Source organism: Homo sapiens, chromosome 5 (genome assembly GCF_000001405.40).
Source record: "Homo sapiens chromosome 5, GRCh38.p14 Primary Assembly".
In the NCBI taxonomy this organism is placed as follows: Eukaryota; Metazoa; Chordata; class Mammalia; order Primates; family Hominidae; genus Homo; species Homo sapiens.
Genome location: NC_000005.10, coordinates 139,927,440 through 139,951,915, shown reverse-complemented (window position 1 = coordinate 139,951,915; position 24,476 = coordinate 139,927,440). Strand labels below are relative to the sequence as shown.

At 38.9% G+C, this 24,476-nt stretch overlaps 1 protein-coding gene across 7 annotated transcripts in view, besides 1 other annotated feature; it reads left to right on the top strand.

The window, feature by feature from the left end:
• NRG2 (neuregulin 2) overlaps nucleotides 1-24,476 on the top strand; it is a 196,519-nt gene that overhangs the window by 91,384 nt on the left and 80,659 nt on the right. The window lies entirely within an intron of this gene.
• Nucleotides 8,825-8,994: an enhancer, noted in NCBI's record as "active region_23254". NCBI's record gives its function as "activates an Ori minimal core promoter by ATAC-STARR-seq in GM12878 lymphoblastoid cells {active_cell/tissue: GM12878}" and the evidence as "EXISTENCE:reporter gene assay evidence [ECO:0000049][PMID:35858748]".

The following is a 24,476-nucleotide window of genomic DNA, read 5'->3' as shown; positions in this document are numbered from 1 at the left end:
CCTCCTGGCTGGCCACTGCATGACCTGGATCTTCCAGGGCTAAGACCCTGAGGCTGCGAGCCTTGTCCTTCCTGCCAGGCCAGGCCAGGCTGCCTGGGTGAGCCAGGGGGAGGGCGTGCCATAGGAGGGTGCAAGGCTTAGGTTGCAGTGTTGTAACCAGTTGGGTTTTCTGCATGGTTGGTCAAGAGCCTGGGGACTGAGCTCTCAGAAACACAATTAGGAGTTGAGAAAGCTGGGTGGTGTAGGATGAAAGGCAGGCGGATGGGCCAAGGAGGCATCTCTGGGGAACTTGGGAGCTTTCCATGGCTGTGGGACAGAGAAACCTCATTAGAGGAGCCACGGAGCTCAGGCTGCTATTGTTAGCTCATCGTTCCATCAGACTTCCAAAGGGCCCCCAGCAGATGGAATATTCCAAGGGCCTTCCAGGGTCCCCTCTTCCTGACTACAGCATGTGGCACCCCAGAGAGGCAGCAGGGGGTGAGCAGGCACCCTCCAGCCTGGCTGTGATCCACTATGTCCCCATGACAGCACCAGCATTTGACTGCCCTGGGCTTGAAGAGCAGGAACAATGAAAGGCCTCACTCCTACCTCTCGATAAGTAGCCAAAGAGAGACATAGACACCCAAGACACACACACAAACACTGCTCTGTATCTTTCTGCCTCAAACAAAACTGTCATTTTAGAGATGAAACTGAAGCACAGAAAGTGAGGGACTTGGCAAGGTCACATATCCAGCAAATGTGTACCTTCTCAGTCTGCATCCAGGGCTTGGCCCACATTAGGGAGGTAGCATGGGGCAGTGGAAAAAGCACAGACTTGGGGTCATCTAGGCCTAGGTTGAAAGCCCAGTTCTGCCTCTTCTCTGCAGTGTGACAACACTTGGAGCCAGTTTCCTCTTCATTAAACTTGCAGATTTGCACTGAGGATTAGAGACAACATAGAAGATGATCAATATATGGGAGCTGTTATTGGCAGCAGTGGCCAGGATACTGACTGGGCTAGTAGTCACGATGCAGCTAGGATGGTGGCTGGGAGAGGGGCTGAGTGGTGGGTTGAAATGGCGGCAGTGATCATCAAAGTGATGGTAACAATTATGTGAAGTGGATCTTTGTTTGTGGGAAAGGAGTGGTCCATTCAGGTTAGGTCCCTCAGGAAGTTCAGACCTGAATTTCTTTCCCACCACTAGAAGGCTCAATATGTGGGAGCCTTGTGGTTGGATATGACCAGATGTCAGTTGCAATGGGATTAGTTTAATTCTGGCGTGTGGAAAGTATTTGCCCCAGGAAAGGCGGCAGCTGTGATTGCAAAAGCACCTGCAGGAGGCATGGTCAGCTTGGGGATGTCCAAAGCCACCTTTACCCTCCTCCTACTCTGGTTCTCCAGGAAACTGCAAGTCACAGTCCAGCTTTGGGACCAGAACCTTCCTAAAGAAGTGGAAATGGGAAGCTCTTTAGGTTTCAGTGAAAGGGGAGACCTTAGCTCTCTTAACATCAGGGAATTTTCTACTTTGAAAGAAGCTAAATGTTCTACAGAAGGTGTATCATACTCCTGGGTGTGAGGGAACTACTGGAATTTCCAGCACTGTATGCCAGCTCCCAAGGGACAGGCAAACCCTCCAGCTCTCCCCTGAAGTAGGTTGAGATGGTACCGCCAATCATGGAGGGGGCCAGCATTAATCGTCTGTGTCCCTGGCATTGGGAGTTTGGTCTGTGGTGTGTGGCTCACTCTAGCTGACCTTCTGAGGAACGAAGAAGAAATGTTGAAACAGAGCTTGGTTCAAAGGCTGCTCTACCCAAGGGAGCCTACAATTCTCTTTCTACTAATGATCCTTTGAAATAATCCTTTTAATCAGGTTTCCCCCTAGGAAGAGTCTGGGGCACTGCTCTTAACAAATTTTCCCTTGTGTCTTTGTCACACACATGCCATTCCCAGCAGCCTTTTGCTATTTAGACAGAGGAAGGAGCCATGCAAAGAATGTAGCAGTACTAGTTGCCCTTTGGGAGGCCTCTTCCCATGACCAGGCCCCCTGCCAAGCTTTGAGGGTGTCTATTACTTCCCTTTTCTCATGCTCCAAAACCAAGGTGAGCAGGACTTGTCTAGGGGCAGCTGGTAAATATGAACACCTAGCCATGGCCAGACACCCAGCAAAGCCTTCTTTAGAAGTAACCATTTATGTGTGAACCTTAGAAACGTGACTTTTGAAGACTAAAGGAAAGTTCTCTGCACCAAATAGCAGTTATGCTGGGGTCATTCCTTAGAGTAAGATATTCTTCTTAAGTAAAATATAAGTTCCTTAGCTAAAATAGAATAGAAGCCTAGAAGGAAAAAAATATATATGTACAGAAGTCTGACAAGACGTACATCAAAATGTTTCTAATTATTATCTTCAGGTAGTGGGTGTTCTAGTGACTTTTATGCCTTACTTGTACTTATTGAGAATTACTTTTGAAATAAGAAAAAAAAAAGTATTAGTTAAAAATTCCCTTAAAGGAAGGTCACACTCCATTACTCATCTGTTCTTCAGTAAAAATTAGTTCTGGGTCTTTTCCTAAGAGCAGGATTTGCTAGAGAGAGGGAGATCATCTCTGAATCCTTAACCCTAAAATAGTGATATCATAGTTTGTACATAGCATGACCATTATATGTCTGTGGAATAATGTATTGATTGATTTTTTAAGGGCTGTTGGAGTGGTGGAAATGATGAAAATTTGAGAGAGGAAAGATGGGGGCTCCTCAAACCTCCTTAATATGCAGCTTCTTTCTCCCTTAAAGGGAGAGAGGAAACAGGAGATTATTTTTATAGTGGTCAAATTAGTCTTATCAGTTTCATTCCTCACTGAAGTGTCTACACTACAGATTTTTGGAGAAGCCTATTGGTAGGGAATTGAAGCCTCAGGGTCACTGAGAATCCTAGAAGCCTCAGGGTCACCGAGACTCAGAGGCTTTGTTAATTGAACATGGCTGCCTGTGGCTGCGGAGCTTGCCTATGCCGAGGGAATCTTGACTCTAGCCTCTGTCTTACCCTCATGTCCAATCTGAAATCAAGTCCTATACATTGTACCTCCTAAACACTTCTCAGATTCTACCAGTTCTCTTCATCCTCACTACCACTACCCTTGTCTCACCCAGAACTCCTGCAACAACCTGCTAACTGGGCTAACTCCAGTCACTTCTATTTTGTGTGCTGCAGTCAGAATAAATATTTTAATATATGGATATTATCTTATGATTATACTGCTTAAAACCATTCAACAACTTCCCATAGCACTCAAGATAAAGTCCAGACCTCCTGGTATTCAGTTTTGCAATGAGGATTAGATACAACATTGCAGATGCTCAGTAAATGGGAGCTGTTATTGGCAGCAGTGGCCAGGATATTGACTGGGCTAGTAGTTGAGATGCAGCTAGGATGGCGGTCAGGAGAAGGGCTGAGTGATGGGCTGGAATGGTGGCAGTGATAATCAAAGTGATGGTAACAATTATATGTGAAGCGGACCTCTGTGTGGGAGAAAGAGTGGCTCAGGTTAGGTCTCTCGGGAAGTCCAGAGCTGAACTTCTTTCCCACCACTAGAAAGGTTGGTATGTGGGAGCCAAGAGGTTGGATATGACCAGATGTCAAGTGCAATGAGACTGGTTCCGTTCTGACTACGAAGAGTATTCGTCTCAGGAAAGAAGCCTTCTGCCTCTTTTGGTATAGTTCATTGACATTATGCTAAATGAAATTATCTAGTCACAAAAAGACAAATGCCACATTAATTCTATTGATATGAGGTGCCTAGAGTAGTCAGATTCATAGAGACAGAAAGTAGAATGGTGGCTGCCAGGGGTTGGGTGGGGGAGGAGAAAATAGGGAGTAATTGTTTATGCATACAGTTTCCTTTTCAAAGATGAAAAAAGCTCTGGAGATGGAGAATGGTGATGGTTGCACAACAATGTTCATGTACTTGGTTCCACTGATACACTTTAAAGTGGTTAGAATGGTAAATTTTACATTATGTGCATTTTACCACAATAAAAAGAATTGGAAAGAACTGGTAAAGGATCTAAACAGGCACTTCTCCAGAGGAGCTATACAAATGGCCAATAAGCATGTGAAAGTATGTTCAACATCATTAGTCATTAGGGAAATGCAAATCAGAACCACAATGATATACCACTTCACACCTATTAGGATAGCCAGACTAAAAAAGATGCATAATAATAAATGTTGGCAAGGATGTGGAGAAATGGGAACCCTCATACACTACTAATAGGAATATAAGATGGTGCATGCAGTTGGTTTGGAAAAGTCTGGTGAACCAGCAGTGCACTCCCAGGTGTACATATACCCAAGAGAAATGAAAACGTATGTCTTTACAAAAACTTGTACACAAATGTTCACAGAAGCATTATTCGTAATAAACAAAAAGTAGAAACCACCTAAATGGCCATCAACTGTTGGTTGGATTAATAAAATGTGGTATATCCACAATAGAATATTATTTGGCAACAGAAAGGAAAAAAGTACTGAAACATGCTACAATGTGGATGAACTTTGAAAACTTTATTCTAAGTGAAAGAAGCCAGTCACAAATGACCAAACATTGTATAATTTGATTTATATGAAATGTCCAGAATAGGCAGATCTTTAGATACAGAAGGCTGATTAGCAGTTTCTTCAAACTGGGGAGTTGTAGGAGGCCAAAGAGTATGGGTTTACTTCTCAGGTTGATAAAATGTTCTAAAATTGATTGTAGTCATGGTTGTACCACTCTTTGAATATATTTAAAAATCATTGAATTGCACACTTTAAATGTGTGAATTGTATGGTATGCGAACATACCTCAATAAAACTGTTTTGCCAGCAATGCACAAGCGTTCAAATTTCTCCACATCCTCACCAACGCTTGTTATCTTCTGTTTTTTTTTTTAATAGTAGCCATCCTAATAGGTGTGAGGTGGTATCTCACTATAGTCTTGACTTGTGTTTCCCTAACGATTAGTGATGTTAAGCATCTTTTCATATGCTTGTTGACCATTTGTATATATTCTTTGGAGAAATATGTATTCATACCCTTTGAATAGACATTTCTCCAAAGAAGAAATTAAAGACATTTCTCCAAAGAAAAAATTAAACCCATTTTTAACCAGATTGTTTTATTGTTGTTGAGTTGTAAGCATTCTGTATATATTATAGATATAAGTTCCTTATCAGATGTATGATTTACAGATACTTCCTACAATTCAGTGGGTTGTCGTTTCACTTTCTTAATGATGTCCTTTGAAATACAGAAGTTTCTAATTTTGAGGAAGTCCAATTTATCTATTTTTTCTTTTCTTGTTCATACTTTAAGTGTCATATCCAACAAATCACTGCCCAATCCAGTGTCACAAAGAAATACATCTATGTTTTTTGAGAATTTTATAGTTTGAGCTCTTCCATTTAGGTCTTTGATCCATTTTGAGTTAGTTTTTGTATACAGTGTGAGGTAGGTATCCAACTTCACTATTTTGCTGTGGATATCTAGTTGTCTCAGAACAATTTGTTAGAAAAAACTAACAATTTGTAATTCTTTCCTGATTACATTACTTTTATATCCTTGTTGAAAACCAATTAACCATAAGTGTGAGAGTTTATTTCCGGATTCTCAATTTTATTCTATTGATCTGTTTCTGTCCTTATTCTGATACCGCACTGTCTTAATTTATTGTGGCTTATAGTAAGTTTTGAAAGTGGGAAGTGTGAGTCTTGCAACTTTGTTCTTCTTTTTCAAAATTGCTTTGACTATTTTGGGCACCTTGTCAGCTTGAATTTTAAGATCAGCTTGTCAATTTTTGCAAAAAAAGCAAGCCAGGAATTTGATTGGGATGGCACTGAATCTGTAGATCGATCTGGGGAATATTGCCATCTTAACAATATTGAATCTCCTGATTCATGAACATATGATGCCTTTATATTTATTGAGAGCTTCTTTAATTTCTTTCAACAGTGTATTTTGTAGTTTTCAGAGTTTACATTTTGCACTTCATTTGTTAGATTTATTCCTAGTTACATTACTCTTTTTGATGCTATTATAAATGGAATTGTTTTCTTAATTTCATTTGCAAATTGTTCATTGCAAGTGTATAAGAATATAATTTATTTATGTAGATCTTATATCCTGCAACTTTGTTGAATTCATTTATTCATTCTAATGGCTTTTTTTAGTAGACTCCTTAATACTAAGGAGTATTTCTATATATAAGATTATTTCATCTACCTATCAAAATGCCAATGACATTTTTCACAGAAACAGGAAAAAAAATCCTAAAATTTGTATGGAACCACAAAAGACCCCAAATAGTCAAAGCAATACCTCCAGTTTTGTTCTCTTTCCTCAAATCTGTAGTAACCAAAACAGCATGGTACTGCCATAAAAACAGACACATAGACCAATGGAACAGAACAGAGAACCAGAAATAAACCCACATATTTACAGCCAACTGATATTTGACAAAAGTGCCAGGAACATTCTTTGGGGAAAAGACATCTTTTCAATAAAGACCTAAATGTAAGACCAGAAATTATAAAACTACTAGAAGAAAATATAGGAGAAATGCTTCAGGACATTGGTCTGGGAAAATATTTTATGAATAAGACAGGCGACAAAAGCAAAAATAAACAAATGGGATTATATCAAACTAAAAAAGCTGCTGCATATCAAAGGAAACAATCAATAGAGTGAAAAGAAAACCTATAGAATGGAAGAAAATATTTGCAAACTACTGATCTAATAGGGAATTACTATCCAGAATATATGAGAAACTCAAACACCTCAACAGCAGGAAAACATACAGTTCGATTAAAAAATGGGCAAAAATGGTCTGAACAGATATTTCTCAAAAGAAGACATACAAAAGGCCACACAATATATGAAAAATCCTCAGCATCACTAATCATCAGGGAAATGCAAATCAAAACCACAATGAGGTATCATCTCACCCCAGTTAGGATGGCTATAATCAAAAAGACAAAAAATAAATGCTGGTAAAGATGCAGAGAGAAGGGAACTCTTATATGCTGTTGGTGGAAATGCAAACTAGTACAGCCACTATGGAAAACAGTATGGGGGTCTCTCAGAACAATACAAATAGAACTACCCTATCATTCAGCAATATCACTACTGGGAGTTTATCCAAAGGGAAATTATTACATGTGAGAGACATTTGCATCCCTATGCTGATTACAGCACTGTTCACAATAGTGAAGACATGGAATCAACCTAGGGGTCGAGCAATAGATGAGTGAACAAAGAAAATGGGGTACATACACACAATGGAATACTATTCAGCCATAAAACGGAATGAAATCCTGTCATTCATGGCAACATGAATGGAACTGGAGGACATTGTGTTAAATGAAATAAGCCAGGAACAGAAAGTTAAACAGTTCGCATTCTCACTCATATGTGGAACCTAAAAAAAAGTTGATCTCAAATAAGTAAAAAAGTAGAACAGAGGATACTAGAGGCTGGGAAGAGTATAGGGAAGGAAGGATAGACAGAGATTTTTAAAAGGATACAAAATTACAGCTAGATAGGAGGAATAAGTTCTAGTGTTCTATAGTCCAGTAGGATGACTATAGTTAATAATAATATATAGTTTCAAAAACCTAGAAGGAGGATATCCAATGTTCCTATCACAAAGAAATGATAAATGTTTGAGATGATGGATATGCTAATTGCCCTGATCTAATCACCATACCTTGTATGTGTTGAAACATTTTTTTTTTAAAGATCGTATCATCTGAGAGTGAATTGAGATACTTTTGCTTCTTCCATTCCAATCTGGACACCTTTTATTTAATTTTTTTTGCCCACATATTTTTTAGGGGTTGAAAAAAATCAAATAACTACAAATGAGTATAGTTGAGAAAACATTAATTCAGTACAAAGAATAATATTTGTGATGTGAAAATTGTATGAAATTCAAAACTGTGTCCATAAATAAAGTTTTATTAGAATGCATAGCCATGCCATTTGTTTGCATATTGTTTATGGGTTTGTTTGTTTGTTTGCATTGCCAGTGAGAAGTTGCCATAAAAATTGTATATGACACTCCCCTCACTGCACTGCTGCAGTGATAGTTATAACCTAACAATGTTAATAAGTGACATGTGTATCACTATACTGTGGTATTTCATTTTATTTTTATTACTGGTGCATCCTCATTATGTCAAAACAAGAAAAGAAAAGTGGACTTTGAATGTCTTGCTTTTGAAACACAATGTACTGTAGATTATTTTGTTATTAAATTAGATGATAATTAGCTTTATTACACAATGGCATTATAGACATGCTAAAAGAGCATAATATATGTCAATATTACCAAACACTTAACATTTATCACAATATTCCCAGCTCACAGACAAGAAACAGTCAGAAAAATTAGAAAATTTAAAATCAAAGATCTCATTACAGCACAATTTCTTCACAAAAATCAAAAGTGGGGCCGGGCATGGTGGCTCATGCCTGTAATCCCAGCACTGTGGGAGGCTGAGGCAGGTGGATCATGAGGTCAGGAGATAGAGACCAGCCTGGCTAATACAGTGAAACCCCATCTCTACTAAAAATACAAAAAAAATTAGCCAGGCATGGTGGTACGCGCCTGTAATCTCAGCTACTCGGGAGGCTGAGGCAGAAGAATCACTTGAACCTGGGAGGCAGAGGTTGCAGTGAGCCGAGATCGCGCCATTGCACTCCAGCCTGGGTGACAGAGCAAGACTCCGTCTCAAAAGAAATAAAAATAAAAAGTGAGGCCAGACACGGTGGCTCGCACCTATAATTGCAGCACTTTGGGAGGCTGAGACGGATGGATAATCTGAAGTCAGGAGCTCAAGACCAGCCTGGCCAACATGGTGAAGCCCCGTCTCTACTAAAAATACAAAAACTAGCCAGGCGTGGTGACATGCAACTGTAGTCTCAGCTACTCAGTAGTCTGAGGTGGGAGAATTGCTTGAAACTAGAAGGTGGAGGTTGCAGTAAGCCGAGATGCCACCACTGCACTCTAGCCTGGATGACACAGTGAGACTGTTTCAATAAATAAATAAATAGTGGAAATCAGGCTACATCAAACTAATTTTCCAAGTGGCTCATTTGTTAGCAAAGCAAGGAAAGTTGTTTACAAATGGTGAGTTAATTAAACTGTGTACAGAGAAAATAAATTCACTAAAGAGTATTAGTCTTTCTGCAAAAATAGTTGTTCAAAGAGCTGTGGACATTGGGAGAAACATAAATAGTAAAGTTAAAGACAAGGCAAACAATTTTGAGTGGTTTTCCTAGGCTCTGGATGAGTTGACAGATGTTAACAATAATGACCATTTATTATTGTTTATTTGAGGAATGGATGCCAAGTTTGAAGTCACTGAAGAATTTGCCTCTAAGAATAGTGTAGAATAACTACGGATGAGAATAGTTGGGAAAACACTAACTCAGTACAACCTGAAGTGGAATCTGCTAAGATGTGTTATAACTAATGATCACAAAAATATGTATGCAGCAGAAAAAAGGCTTAATTGGGGAAATTTACAAAACTTATGAAAACATAAAATGTTTAAAGCTTGTGGTCATTCATTGTATTATTTATCTACAGGTACTTTGAAGGAAATATTTTAATCTGTCATGTATTATTGAACCAGTGGTGTCAACAGTGAACACCATTCACTCTTAGGAACTTAACCATTGACAGTTCTGTGCATTTTTTGACTGAAATAAGAGCTAAAGATGTTAACTTGTCCTATCATACATTTTGATGATTTAACAGTAGTAAAATTTTGTTGTGATTTTTCTTTTAGCTCAGAGCTGACATTGATATTTTTCTGGATGAAAAAACTACCCTTAACCAGTGTTATCAAATACTAAATGATTTTGGATAATAGCTTTTGCTACGGATTTGGTATTTCTTAATGAATTTAACCTAAAATTACAAGGTAAAACAATGCTTATTTGTGAAATTTATATGGCGGTAAAATAATTTTGACTATAACTAATGTTGTTTGAATCACAAATCATGTCAAGCTGCTTTACACTCTTCCCATGCTATGGGAAGTTGAAACAAGAAGCAAGCTCTCCGTTCCACACAAGTTTGCAATGGACATATTTTCTGAGCTCAAACTATAGTTCCAGCAGTGTTTTATTCCAATGTTGATGCAAGTGCAAATGAAATTTCTACACTTCAAAATTCACTTAACTCTGCAATTGAGGGACTTCCACCTAACCTTCAACTGGAAGTAATTAACCTGCAATGTAATGACAAGCTAAAGGCAAATATCAAGAGAAGACTCTATCAGAATTCTATAAATGCCTTCCAAGTGATGAATATGCTCAATTAAAATCATATGCTTATGGATTGATATCAATATTTGGCATTACTTTTCTGTATGAAAAAGACATTTTCAAAGATGAAATACATCAGATCTCATTACAGATCAGCATTAACAGGTGAATATATGCAATCAATTTTGACAGTAAGACACACTAGATTTGCATCATAATTAAATGAAATGTTATCCCCCACCCCCCAAAAATTCTATTATTCTCATTAATAGGCCTGTATTACAAAAAAAGTATTCAATGATTATATGTTGAATTTTGTCAATTCAAAATTATAAAATTTTTGTGTTTGTCTTGTGCAAATACCCACAAAAAATGTTTGATTTTTTGCCTTTTGGCCCATGAAGTCGAAAATCTTTAATACCTGGCTCTTAACAGAAAAAGTCTGCTGAGCTTTAGCTCACAAGATGAAAACCCAGCCCCCATCAGTCTCATATTTGTCCTTCAATATTCCAGCTTCACAGAGCTACCCTGCAGTTGCCCAATCTCACATTTTCTTTCTTTCCTTGTGATCTTTGTATATGCTATTCTCTCTGTCTAGAATGATCTTTTTTTCCTTCCCTACTTCTGTTGGCTAATTCCTTACTGTCCTTCAGGTCTTAGCTTAAATATAACTTCTTCAAAGAAGTATTTACTGACGCTGTCCACCACTGTGAGACAGATACCCTTCCTGATGAACTTCCACAGCATCCTGTACTTCCCTGTATCAGCATCTTTTTTTTTAAATGTACATGGCAAAAAATCCAAGAATGCATGATGGAAAATAAAGTCTCCCACATATCTCAGACTCCAGACACTGAATTCTTATTCCTAGAGGCTACCACTGTTATATTTTCTTGGGTATCCTTCTAGAGATATTCTCTGCCTACATGGCACATACCTATGTGTTTTCTTTTTTGCCCTCACAAATGATAGTATACTGTATACATATTTCTGCACCTAGTTTTTTCCACTTAACTATGAACTTTGGAGTCTATTCCATATGTACCTTGTAGAGCTGCCTCATTTTTAAAAATTGAGACAGAATTAAGACAATAAATTTCACCAATTTTAAGAGTACAACTTGATGAGTTTTAGCAAATGTATGCAGTCAGGTAAACATCACTACAATCATGTTAGAGGATGTTTCCATTACTCACAAAAAAATTTCTCATGCCCCAAGCAATAATTGATTTGCTTTCTGTCAGTACAGATAAAATGGAATCACATAGTATGTATTCTTTTGTGTCTGGTTCCTTTTGGCAAGAATAATGTTTCTGAGATTTATCTATGCTGTTGCATGTATCAGTAATTCCCTCCTCTTTATTGCTCAGTAGTATTCCATTGTTTTTATATATCACAATGTGTCTATCCATTCCCATCTTGGACATTTGGATTGTTTCCAGTTTGGGGCAATTAAAACTTCTATGAACATTTGTGGACAAATCTTTGTGTGGACATGTTCTTATTTCTCTTGGATGAATACCTAGCATGGCAGGGTTGAAGGAAGATCTATGTTTAATATTTTCAGAAACTACCAAACTGTACCATTTGACCTTCCCAGCAGCAGTTACTAAGGAGTTCCAGTTGCTCCATGTCTTTCCCAACCTTTTGTATTTATCATTTGTTCTAATGTTGGCCATTCTAGTGGGTGTATAGTAGTATCTCACTGGTTTGATTTGCATGTCACTGATGATGTGTGGTAAGTATCTTTCCATGTACTTTTTTTGCCATTGCTATATATTTTTTTTGGTCAAGTGTCTGTTCAATTTTTTGCCCATTTTTTTGAATGGACTTTTTTCTTTTTATATTACTTAGTTGTAAGAGTTTTTAAAACATATATTCTAGACATAATTCCTTTGTCAGATACGTTTTGCAGATTGTTTTCCAATTTCTCCTTTGCCTTTTCATTTTCATAAAACTGTCACTTGAAGAGCAGAAGTTTTAAATTTTGAAGTCCTAGTTATATTTTTCTTTTGTTTCCTACATTTTGACTCCTATTTAAGAAATCTGGCCAGATGTGGTGACTCATACCTGTAATCCCAGCACTTTGGGAGGCCAAGGCGGGCAGATCACTTGAGGCCAGGAGTTCAAGACCAGCCTGGGCAACACGGTGAAACCCTGTCTCTACTGAAAATACAAAAATTAGCTGAGCACTGTGGCTCATGCCTGTAATCCCAGCTATGCAGGAGACTGAGGCATGAGAATCGCTTGAACCCAGGAGGCAGAGGTTGCAGTGAGCTGAGATCATGCACTACCCTCCAGCCTGGGCAACAGAGCAAGACTCCATTTAAAAAAAGAAAGGAAAGAAAGAAAGAAAGAAAAAGAAAGAAAGAAAGAAAGGAAGGAAGGAAGGAAGGAAGGAAGGAAGGAAGGAAGGAAAGAAATCTTTGCCAAACCCAAGGTCATTAAGAATTTCTGCTATGTTTATTTCTCAGACTTTTTTAGCTTTTACATTTAGGTCTGTGATCCATTTTGAGTTAATTTTTGTGTATGGTGTGATCTAAGGGTCAAGGTTCTCCCTTCCTTCCTTCCTTTCCCTTCCTTCCTTCCTTCTTTCCTTGCTTCCTTCCTTCCTTTCCTTCCTTGCTTCCTTCCTTTCCTTCCTTCCCTTCCTTCCTTCTTTTTTCTTTCTTTCTTTCTTTCTTTCTTTCTTTCTTTCTTTCTTTCTTTCTTTCTTTTCTTTCTTTCTTTCTTTCTTTCCTTCTCTCTCTCTCTCTCTCTCTCTCTCTCTCTTCCCTTTCTGTATATGACTGTCCAATTGTTTCAGCACTGTTTGTTAAAAAGATTATCCTTTTCCCCCCAAGAATCCCCTTGAATTGCCTTAAAACCTTTGTCAACAATCAATTTGTGTGGGTATATTTCTGGATAGTCTATTGTGTTCTATTGATCTACATTCTTGATTATTTTAACTTTATAATATATCTTGAGGCTGTACATGGTGGCTTGAGCCTGTAATTCTGGGCAGCCAAGGTGAGAGAATCACTTGGGCTCAGGAGTTCAAGACCAGCCTGGGAACACAGCGAGACTTCATCTCTACCAAAAATTTAAAAAAGAAAAAAATTAGCGGGGCATGGTGGCCTGGGTCTGTAGTCCTAGCTGCTCAGGAAGCTGAAGTGGGAGGACTGTTTGAGCCCGGGAGATAAAGGCTGCAGTGAGCTATGATCAAGCCACTGCACTCCAGCCTGGGAGACAGAACAAGACCCTGTCTCAAAAAAAAAAAAGTATTGAAATCAGGTAGTGTAAGGTCTCCAACTTTTTCTTTTACAAAATTGCTTTTGGCTATTCTGGGTCCATTGCATTTCCACATACATTTTATAATTAGCTTATCAATTTCTACTAAAAAGCCTGCTGGGATTTGATTAGATTTCATTGAACCCACAGATGAATTTAGAGAAAAGTTACAGCTTAGTATTGAGTCTTCTCATCCATGAACACGTATTTCCATTTATTTAGATCTTACTTTTTCTCACCAATATTTCATAGTTTTGTTATTATTATTTTTTCGTAGACAAGGTGTCACTCTGTCCTCTAGCCTGGAGTGCAGAGGCACAATCATAGCTCACTGTAGCCTCAAACTCCTGGGCTCAAGCAATCCTCCTGCCTTATCCTCCCTGAGTAGCTGGGATTACAGGTGCACACCACCTTGTCCGGGTTGTTTCATAGTTTTCGGTGTGTAGTTTCACACTGAAAATAATGTATGTGTAAGAGTTTTTAAAAAATATATTCTGTGTGTTCACAGAATATATATATGTGTTCATAGTTTTCATTGTGTAGTTTCAGTGTGTAGTTTTATATATCTTTTGTTAATTTTTTCTCTAGATTTTTTGTATTTTTGATGCTATTGCAAATGATATGGTTTACATTTCAGTTATGTCATAGAATATTTCCATTACTCCCAAAAGTTCCCCTATGCCCTGGGTAATCACTGTTAATATACAGAAATACATTTGATTTTTATATAATGACCATATATCCTACAACCTTGCTAAACTCACTTACTAGTTCTAGTAGCATTTTTGTAGATTCCTTAGGATTTTCTGCATAGACAACCATGTCATCTGTGAATCAAGACACTTTTACTTCTTTTCCAATCTGTATGTCTTTTTTTTTCCACTTACATTTTTGCACAGGCTGATACCTCCAGTACAATGTTGAGTAGAATTGATTCCTAGCCTTATTCCTGATCTTAAGGGAAAAGCATTTAATTTTTTGCCGTTAAGTATGATATAGCTGTAGGTCTTTTGTAGATGCCTTTTATCAGATCGAGGGAATCCCCTTTTGTTCTTGAGAGTTTTGTCATGAATAGATGTTAGATTTTATCAAATGCATTTCTACACCTATGAAGATCATCTCTTTTTGTTTGTTTGTTAATAGAGTGAATTACATTGATTTTTGAATGTTAAATTAATCTTGCAGTCCTGAGATAAACTCCATCTGATCATAATGTATTATCCTTCAAAATGTTGTTAAACTTTATTTCCTGGCCAGGCACGGTGGCTCACGCCTGCAATCCCAACAGTTTGGGAGGCCAAGGCAGGCGGATCACCTGAGGTCAGGAGTTCGAGACCAGCCTGGCCAACATGGCGAAACCCTGTCTCTACTAAAAATACAAAAATTAGCCGGGTGTGGTGGTGCACACCTGTAATCCCAGCTACTCAGGAGGCTGAGACAGGAGAATCACATGAACCTAGAAGGCGGAGGTTACAGTGAGCTGAGATCACATCACTGCACTCCAGCCTGGGCAACAGAGCAAGATGCCATCTCAAAAAATAATAGTAATGAAAATTTAAAAAATTTTTAAAAATCTTTATTTCCTGAAATTAATTTACAATTTTTTTCATGAGGAATTCATGAGGAATATTGGAATATAGTTTTCTTTTCTTATAATGTCTTTGTCCAGTTTTGGTATCAGAGCAATACCAGCCTCATAGAATGAGTTGAGAAGTGTTCCCTTGACCTCTATTTTCTGCAGTAGTTTGCATAGAATTTGGTATTCCTTCTTTCTTAAATATATTTAGTAGAATTCACCATGAAGCCTTCTGGGCCCGGAGTTTTGACTGTGAGAAGGGTTCTAACTACAAACTCAATTGGTTTAATAGATATAGGGCTATTTAGATTATCCACTGCTTTTTGAGTGAGTATTAGTAGTTCCTTTCAACAATTTTTAAAGAATTTAATATAATTATTAGCATAACATTGCTCATGAGATGCCATTATCATCCTTTTAGTGTATGTGGAGTTGGTAGTGATGACTCTTTTCTCATTGTTGATACTGCTAATTTATATCTTCTCTCATTTTTTCCTGATTTATCTTACTAGAGGTTTAGCAATTTTATGAACCAGCTTTTAGCTTCATTGATTTTTTCTATTATTTTTGTGTCTCTATTTCATTTATTTTCTTGCTTATTTCATTATTTCTTTTTTCTATTTACTTTGGGTTTAACTTGCTCTGTTTTTCTAGTTGCTTAAGGTGGGAGCTTATTTCACTGATTGAAACCTTTCTTCTTTTCTCATATAAGAGTTTAATTCTATAAATTTCCCTCTAAGTGATGCTTAAGCTGCATGCCACAAATTTTGATTTGTCATGTTTTTCTTTTCTTTTTCTTTCTTTTTTTTTTTTTTTTTAAGACAGAGTCTTGCTCTGTCACCCAGGCTGAAGTGCAGTGGTGCAGTCTTGGCTCACTGCAATCTCCACCTCCCAGGTTCAAGCGATTCTTGTGCCTCGGCCTCCAGAGTAGCTGGGATTACAGGTGTGCACCACCACGCTGGCTAATTTTTGTATTTTTACTAGAGATGGGGTTTTGCCATGTTGGCCAGGCTGGTCTCCAACTGCCAGCCTCAAGTGATCCACCCACCTCGGCCTCCCAAAGTGCTGGGATTACAGACATGAACCACCACACCCAGCCTTTATTTTCATTTGATTCAAAATATATTCTAGTTTCTGTTGTGATTTCTTCTTTGACCCATATATTATTTAGAAATTTATTGTTTAATATGTAAGTATTTGGGTGCTTTTCCATATATCTTTTTGTTATTGATTTCTAATTTAATTCTATTATGATTAGAGAGCATGGTTTGTATGATTTGAATCTTTTAGAATTTATTGAGATTTGTAGTATGGCCCAGAATGTGGTCTAATTTGGTAAATGTTCTCTATGCACTTGAAACAAATATATCGTTTTTCAGTGGAGTATCCTATGAATGTTAATTAGGTCAAGTTGGTTAATAGTACTGTTCAAGTTTTCTATATCCTATTGATTTTGTCCACTTATTGTATCAACTATTCAGAGAAGGTGTTGAAATCTCGTTATAGTAGTGAGTTTGTCTATTTCTCTATTTCTAAATTTCTCTATTTCTAAAGCTGTATCATCAGGTGCCAAATATTAGGATTATTTCTTTTTTCTTTTTTTTTAACTGAGACAAAGCCTCGCTCTGTCGCCCAGGCTGGAGTACAGTGGCATGATCTCGGCTCACTGCCAACTTCTGCCTCCTGGGTTCAAGCAGTTCTCATGCCTCAGCCTCTCGAGTAGCTGGGACTACAGGCACGCACCACCACTCCCAGCTAATTGTTTTGTATTTTTAGTAGAGACGGGGTTTCGCCATTTTGGCCAGGCTGGTTTCGAACTCCTGACCTCAGGTGATCTGCCAGGCTCAGCCTCCCAAAGTGCTGGGATTACAGGCATGAGCCACCGCGCCCGGCCAGGATTGTTATTTCTTATGAATGAATGAATCCCTTTTTCATTATAAAATGACCCACCTTATCCCTGGTAAGATTTGCTCTGACATATACCTTGTCTTGTATTAGTACAGTCACTTAAGCCTTCTTTTGGCTAGCGTTGACATCTTTTTCCATGCTTTTACTTTAACCTACATTGTTTGGTCTTTCTTTTTTATACAATTTGACAATCTCTTCCTTTAAAATTGGGATGTTTACACCATTTGCATTTAATGTGATTACTGATGTGGTTGGGCTTCAATCTACCATTTGACTATGTTTTCTATTTGTCTCATCTGTTCTTTGTTTTTTTCTTTTTCGTGATTTCATTTTACCTTTTTACTGGCTCGTTAGTTTTACATTTTTGCTTTGTTTTGATTTGTTTTTAGTGGTTGCTTTAGGACCTATGGCATACATGTTCAACTTACCAGTCTATCTTCAAGTAACATGGTACCATTTTATGTATAGTATAAAAACTCTACAACCATATACTTCCATTTCCCATTGCTTAGTCTTTTCGCTATTGTTGTCATACATTTTACTTCTGTATGTTATAAACTCCACAATACATTGTTATTTTTGCCTTAAATCATTATCTTTTAAAGAGATTTTAAACATAAGAAAAAATATATTTGAGGATTTTCTAAATGTTTTCTTTTAATTATTTTATTTTATTGAGACAGAGTCTCACTCCCAGCCTGGAGTGCAGTGGCACAATCACAGCTCACTGCAGCCTGAACCTCCCGGACTCAAGCAATCCTCCCACCTCAGCCTCCCTAGTAGCTGGGACCACAGGCATGTGCCACCATGCCCAGCTAATTTTTGTACTTTTTGAAGAGACGAGGTTTCTCCATGTTTTCCAGGCTGATCTCAAACTCCTGAGCTCAAGCAATTGGCCCACCTTGGCCTCACAAAGTGCTGGGATTACAGGCGTGAGCCACCACACCCAGTCTCTCTTAATTCATTTTTAACTTTAATTTTGTCATGGTCAAAAAACGTATCTCTTAAAATCTACTGAGATTTGCTTTTACGGCCAAGCATATTATTAATCTTGCTAAACGTTCTATGTGTTCTTGAATATGCATTTTGCATTTTGGGGGTATAATTTGCTATAAATGTAAATTAGGTAAGGTAGTTAATAGTTCACTCATTTCTTTCATATCCTTATTGAGATTTTGTCTAACTAACCTATCAATTACTCATAGAAAAGTATTAAGATTTCCAGCTTTGATTGTGGGTTTTTCTATTTTTTCCTTAGTTCTGTCACTTTTTGCTTCATATAATTTGAAGATCTCTTTTTAGAGGCATATATATTTTAAACTGTTCTGTATCTCTCATGAATTGACTCTTCTATTATTAAATTTCTTTGATTCTAGTATATTCCTTTTCTTGAAGCCTATTTTGTCTTGTATTAAGAGAGCTATTCCAGTTTCCTTACCTTTAAGGTTTGTGTAATTTCCAGCCTTCTGCTTTTAGTTTTTACTTTTGTTATTTGCATGGTTTTACAGTATTTTACTTCTAGTCTATTTGTATCTTAGTATTTAAAGTGTCCCTTTTGAGGAAAGCACATAATTTGTTCTTGCTTTTTTTTTTTGAGACGGAGTCTCACTCTGTCAGCCAGGCTGGAGTGCAATGGTATGATCTCAGCTCACTGCAACCTCCACCTCCTGGATTCAAGCCATTCTCCTGCCTCAGCCTCCTAAATAGCTGGGATTACAGGCAGGTGCCACCATGCTCGGCTATTTTTTGTATTTTTAGTAGAGACAGGGTTTCACCATGTTGGCCAGGCTGGTCTCAAACTCCTGACCTCAAGTGATCCGCCCACCTTGGCCTCCCAAAGTGCTGGGCTTACAGGCGTGAGCCACCGCGTGCGGCCTGTTCTCACTTTTTAATATAGTCTGTCAATCTCTGCCTTTTAATTGGAGTCAGACCACTTACATTTAATATAATTATTAATATGATTTTTTAAAATTTTTAAATAAATACTAGTTTATTTGAGCCTTTTTCATTTATGGTTTAACCATCCAATATGTCTGTTTACTTCAGTTCTTTTTCTTCTTGACACTTCTAGGAGATTTCTTTCTCTATTCTCTTTCTCTTTCCTCTTTCCTGAATAAATTTTATTGTGTATACTTGAGATTTTACAACATGCTATTATGGGATACATATAGATAGTAAAATACTTACTATAATAAAGTAGATTAGCATATCTGTTATTTCACAGTATTTTTTGTGTGATAAGGACAGATAAAATCTACTTAATGAACCAAAATCCCAAATACAATTCTATTAACTGTAGTTCTCATGTTGTACCTTAGGCCTCTAGATCTGTTCATCCTACATATCTGCTATTTTTATCCTTTGACCTCCATCTCCCAATTTCCTACCTTGCCACTCTCATGGTAACTAATGCTTCATTCTCTGTCTCATGTATTTGAGCTTTTTTTAAAAAAAAAAATCTACTAATAAGTGAGATCATGCAATATTTTTCTTTCTGTGTCTGGCTTATTTCCCTTAGCATAACATCTTCCTGTCCTCCTGGTCCATCATGATGTGGCAAATGGCAGAATTTCCTTTTTAAAGCCTGAAAAATAGTTCACTGTGTATACACACACACACACACACACACACACACACACACACACACTACATTTTCTTTATCCATTCATCCATCTATGGGCATTTAGATTGTTTCCATATCTTGGCTAATGTGACTAATGCTTCCATGAACATGGGAGTGCAGATCTTTATGAAGTGGTGATTTTGTCTTCTTTGGGGATATACCGAAAAGGGGGATTTCTGGGTCATATGGTAGTTCTATTTTAAATTATTTTAGGAATCTCCATATTGTTTTCCATAATGGCCGTACCAATCTACATTTCCACTAGCTTTGTACAATGGTTCCCTTCATTCCATACCCTTGTCAACATTTGTTATTTCTTGTCTTTTTGATAATAGCTGTCCATACAAATGTGAAGTGATAGCTCGTTGTGGTTTTAATTTGCATTTCCCTGGTAGTTCATTAAATAAGCCAGTTTCTTTTCATTTGTCTTCAAGTTAACTGATTATTTCTTCTGCCATCTTAAATCCTCAGTTGAGCCCATCTAGTGATTTTTTAATTTTACATTTAATTTGTACACCTTAGCTCTGTAATCCATTTTAAAATGTGTTTCCATTTCCTTGTTGAGATTCCCTACTTGTTTGTTTCTTGATGGCATATTTTCCTATAATTATTTGAACATATTTATAATAAATCCTTTGAATTCTTTATCTTCTAAATCCAATATCTGGATCCAGTTGGAGTTCCTTCAAAATTAACTTGGTTGTACTTGGCCTTTGGGCTTCACTCTTTAACCTTGGCCCCAGCATTTTCCTTGTAGCCTCGGACCAGGGGAAGGGCCTCCTTTCTGTTTCATCTCTTCCTACCCTACTCTCAGGAACCTACTGTCATCCCACCTGCTCTATGTTGACTTCCCTGATGATTGGGACCCTCAGAGATCTTGTTACTCTCTGAACTACTATGTTTAAATTTATATCCCATAATCCAGTGCTGGACCATGTCCTGTTGTTTGCTAATGTTTATGTACTTTGTATTCCTAACTAGATTATAAACTCTTTCAGGATTGGGAATATGTCTTTTCCTCTAGAATATCAGTACATTGAGTTCCCTCTGTATGACAGGTCTTGGCCTGAGCACTTTATACTACCTTTCATTTAGTCTTCAGAACACCCTTGTATGATAGGTATCATTATCCTCATTTTCCATATGAGGAAACTAAGACCCAGAAAGGTTAAATGATGAAGCCAAAGTTAGTGCCAAAGTTAGTGAGAGAGAATGACTAGGCGAGCATTCAAACTCAGATCTATCTCACTCAAAGCTCATGTGGCCATGGCTTTTTATTCTAGTTGGACTTGTAACCTCTTATTCTTTCTGGCCACTAGTCTGACTGTTACCGTGTGAAACAGACCCAGATAAATCTGTGGATTCTTTGAATGGGGTCTGGTGGCCCAATGTTCCCTGCACAGCGTCTTGTTACTTCAGACAGCATCCCATGGCCTGCCTGTCTGCTTTAGCCCTGGCTGTGCTCTTCATCAGGATCCACCCATGGGCTGCTGCACTCAGAACCCCTGCTTGGTAGCCCAAAATAGCCTTTGTTTTCTCCTGGTGGCTGGTGGATTTTCCTCAGCCATTTTTGCCAAGTGGAGCCATGAGTTGGAATAGCAACAGGTGGTAAGTATCTAGAAGCCAATGAGGCATGCACTTTATTGTCAGAAGCAGAAGTGTGTTCTGCAGAGATGGAAAGCAGACCTCCTACCAGCAGAGGAAACACAAACCAAAGGGAACCTTCCCGAAAGTTTGAACAGAACTCTGTTCCTTTTCTGTCTCTGAGGCGTGGAGGAGTGTGGTCCTCTTTGTTGAATCCTTTTCCAAGCATACCTTACACCTGCCTAAAACAGGTAAAATGTAAATCATCTCTTTGCAGGGATTCTTTAGGATACATCTTGTTTTCCGTGCCTTATAGACATGATCATCTCCTTGCTGCTTAGCCAAGTCCTTTGGTTTACTCCAGCATCTGCAGACTGGAAGAGAAGACTTCTCTTTTAACTCACTCACCTTCTTGCCCCAGGGAAAGTAGGAAACAGCACATTTGTTGAAAGAGACAAGTTCTGCATTAGGCTGGTTGTTTACTTGGGTCTGAAAGACAATAAACCTGGTCCTCACTTGGAGTAGGAGAAACTTAGGAAAAAGCAAGGGTGCCATGGAAAACCACTAATCCTCGTTTGTCCCACAAACAATCATGTTAAAATCTTGGTACAGAAGCCCCCTCTGAAGCTGAAATGAATGTCTTGGGTTAAGAATGTTGTCACAATGGCTTACCCTATGTGACATCACGAATTCAGACAAATGAGGTGTGACTGTCCCACTTTGGGGGATGCTATCCTATTTGGTGATTTTCTTGCTTTTTCTCCAAGGTAAAGTCAGAATCGATTGAAATATCAGTCACTTTCTCACTGACAAAGTGACACAGCAGCCGATGGGAGGGTTGACCTGTGAGGAATTTGTGGAGCGTCAAGCCCCAGCCAGAGGAAGGAGTCAGACTGTTGGAGGGCCTGCCGAGAAGTCACGGCATCCAATCTTTTGACCAAGGGGGGAAGCAATCCTGTGGTTAAAAACATTTGAGAAAAGAGACCTACAGATAGCCTTTTGGGCATACTGTTTCTTGGCACCCATATGGAAGTGTGGCTTCTCTTCTGGGCAGGTATTTCTGTACAACTGTGACCACTCTTCCTACCTGGCTTCTGAGGAATGCATAGCCTATACCTGATCTCTTCTATTCTCTTGCATCCCCTAGGAAGCAGGAATTATATTTTCATTCATCTGATAAGCCCTATGAACAGCCATTGTTAAGTGCTGAGAGTACAATAAGGAATGAGAAAACGTCCCATACATCAAAGATTATGGTCTTGTCAGGGCACTGAGGCCACAGGATTCATTGTAGTAGAAGGTATAACACGCTTAATGTCATTGGAGGGAAGCAACATCATATTCTGTTCTTTAGGAATGGGTAGGTTTAGAAATAGCAGATATGGCATGAGGTGCCTAGGAGCCAGAATAAGAAATGTTGGGAAGTAAGGTATGTTTGGGAAGCATGTGGCCAGATGACAGACTGTGTGAGGCAGAACAATGACAAAGGACACAAGACGGAGTGCCTTGAGTGGCAGGCCATGGGGCTGGACACTCTTTGAGAGTTGACCAAGAGCTCAGAAGGACTTTTGAGCAGAGAAGTGACAAGATAAAAGCTTTTGGGGGAAGACTAATAGAGCAACTATGTCTGGGACCTTTCATGGGGTGCTAGAATAGAGAACCAGGATAAAGGGGGAAAGTTGGGAGATGCTGGAAGGCTTGCTTTTGATGGCCATGATGAGAATGAGTAGAGGGGAAGAGGCAAATGTGTTAGACGAACATTGGGCAGGCAGAATTAGCCAGGCACAGCTAGTGACAGGATGTGATGCCACACTGTCAGTCAGAGACAACTCTGGATTTTCAGCTCAAGTGACTGAGGAAAAGCTGAGGCAGGTAACAGATGTCAGAAAGTCAAGAGCCAGAGGAGCAGGCTCAGGGAGAAGATGGTAAGTTCCATTTGTAGTGGCTGAGCTTCATCTTCCAGGGGCAAGTTTCCAGCTGGAGTTAAGAGCACAGAGTTGACCATCAGGAAAGACCAGCATCAGAGACACAATTTGGTTGTTCTAGGGGAAGTGGTAGCTGTTGCTCTGGGGGTTGTAGAAATCCTTGAGTGGAGAGTAGGAAATAGATGGCCAATGCCTGCCCAACACTTGGCCCAGGTCCGGGGTTCATATGCTTCTAGAAAAGAGGAATAAATTAGTGGAAGAATGAGACAAGGACAACATCTGGAGAAGCACTTACGTGTAGAGTGTGCATCAGTGAAGAAGAAAGAGAAGCAACCTTCAGAAAACTGGAAAAGCCAGGAGAGAACCCTGGGAGAAGAGGACAAGGGAGGGCAGGAATTTCAGGAAGAAGGTGACACACTATATTCATTGCTGCAGAAAAAAATGGACCTCCTGAGAAGGCTATCAGGATGCCTGGGCTCATTGCTCTTATGGGGCAAGACACAGAGTTTGCCTCAGTGATGGGACTTAGGCCCTGGGCATTCATGCTCACTTGTTCTCGTTGTCACAATGGCAGCTCTGATTCTAAGAGTCCTGGTCAGAAAGGGCTGACTGATAGTAAGGGAGCTCCTTTTTGTATCTTGCCTTTGGCTGTTGGTTGGGGACTGTGGGGTGTGCTGTGGGGTGATTGTGTGAGGATTGGGATGGCTCATGCTTTCTAAGACAAATGGGGCTTTTTCTAGAGTAAGAGGCAGAGTAAGGGCCTAGCACCCATCTCTGTAAAGACCACATCTTGACCTCCCAGAGGGGAGGTAGATAAAGTTGTGAACTGGTGGCCATCTCATCCAAAGCCAGTGAAATAATCCTGGGGATAGTTTCCTTTTGGAAGTGAGACAAGGGTAGAGGGGACCAGAGAGTGCTCAAAACTTGTCCTGTAGACTTTACCAGATTACTTTTTTTTTTTTTTTTTTTTTTGAGACAAGGTTTCACTCTTGTCGCCCAGGCTGGAGTGCAACAGTGCGATCTTGGCTCACCGCAACCTCCGCCTTCCGGGTTCAAGTGATTCTCCTGCCTCAGCCTCCTGAGTAGCTGGGATTATAGGCATGCACCACCATGCCCACCTAATTTTTGTATTTTTAGTAGAGACGGGGTTTCTCCATGTTGGTCAGGCTGGTCTCAAACTCCTAACCTCAGGTGATCCGCCCACCTCAGCAGATTACTTTTTTATAATTTTATTTCTCTGGTCTGATTCATTCTTTAAGGAGCTATCCCACAGTTTCTGAACAGGGAACTAGAGGAC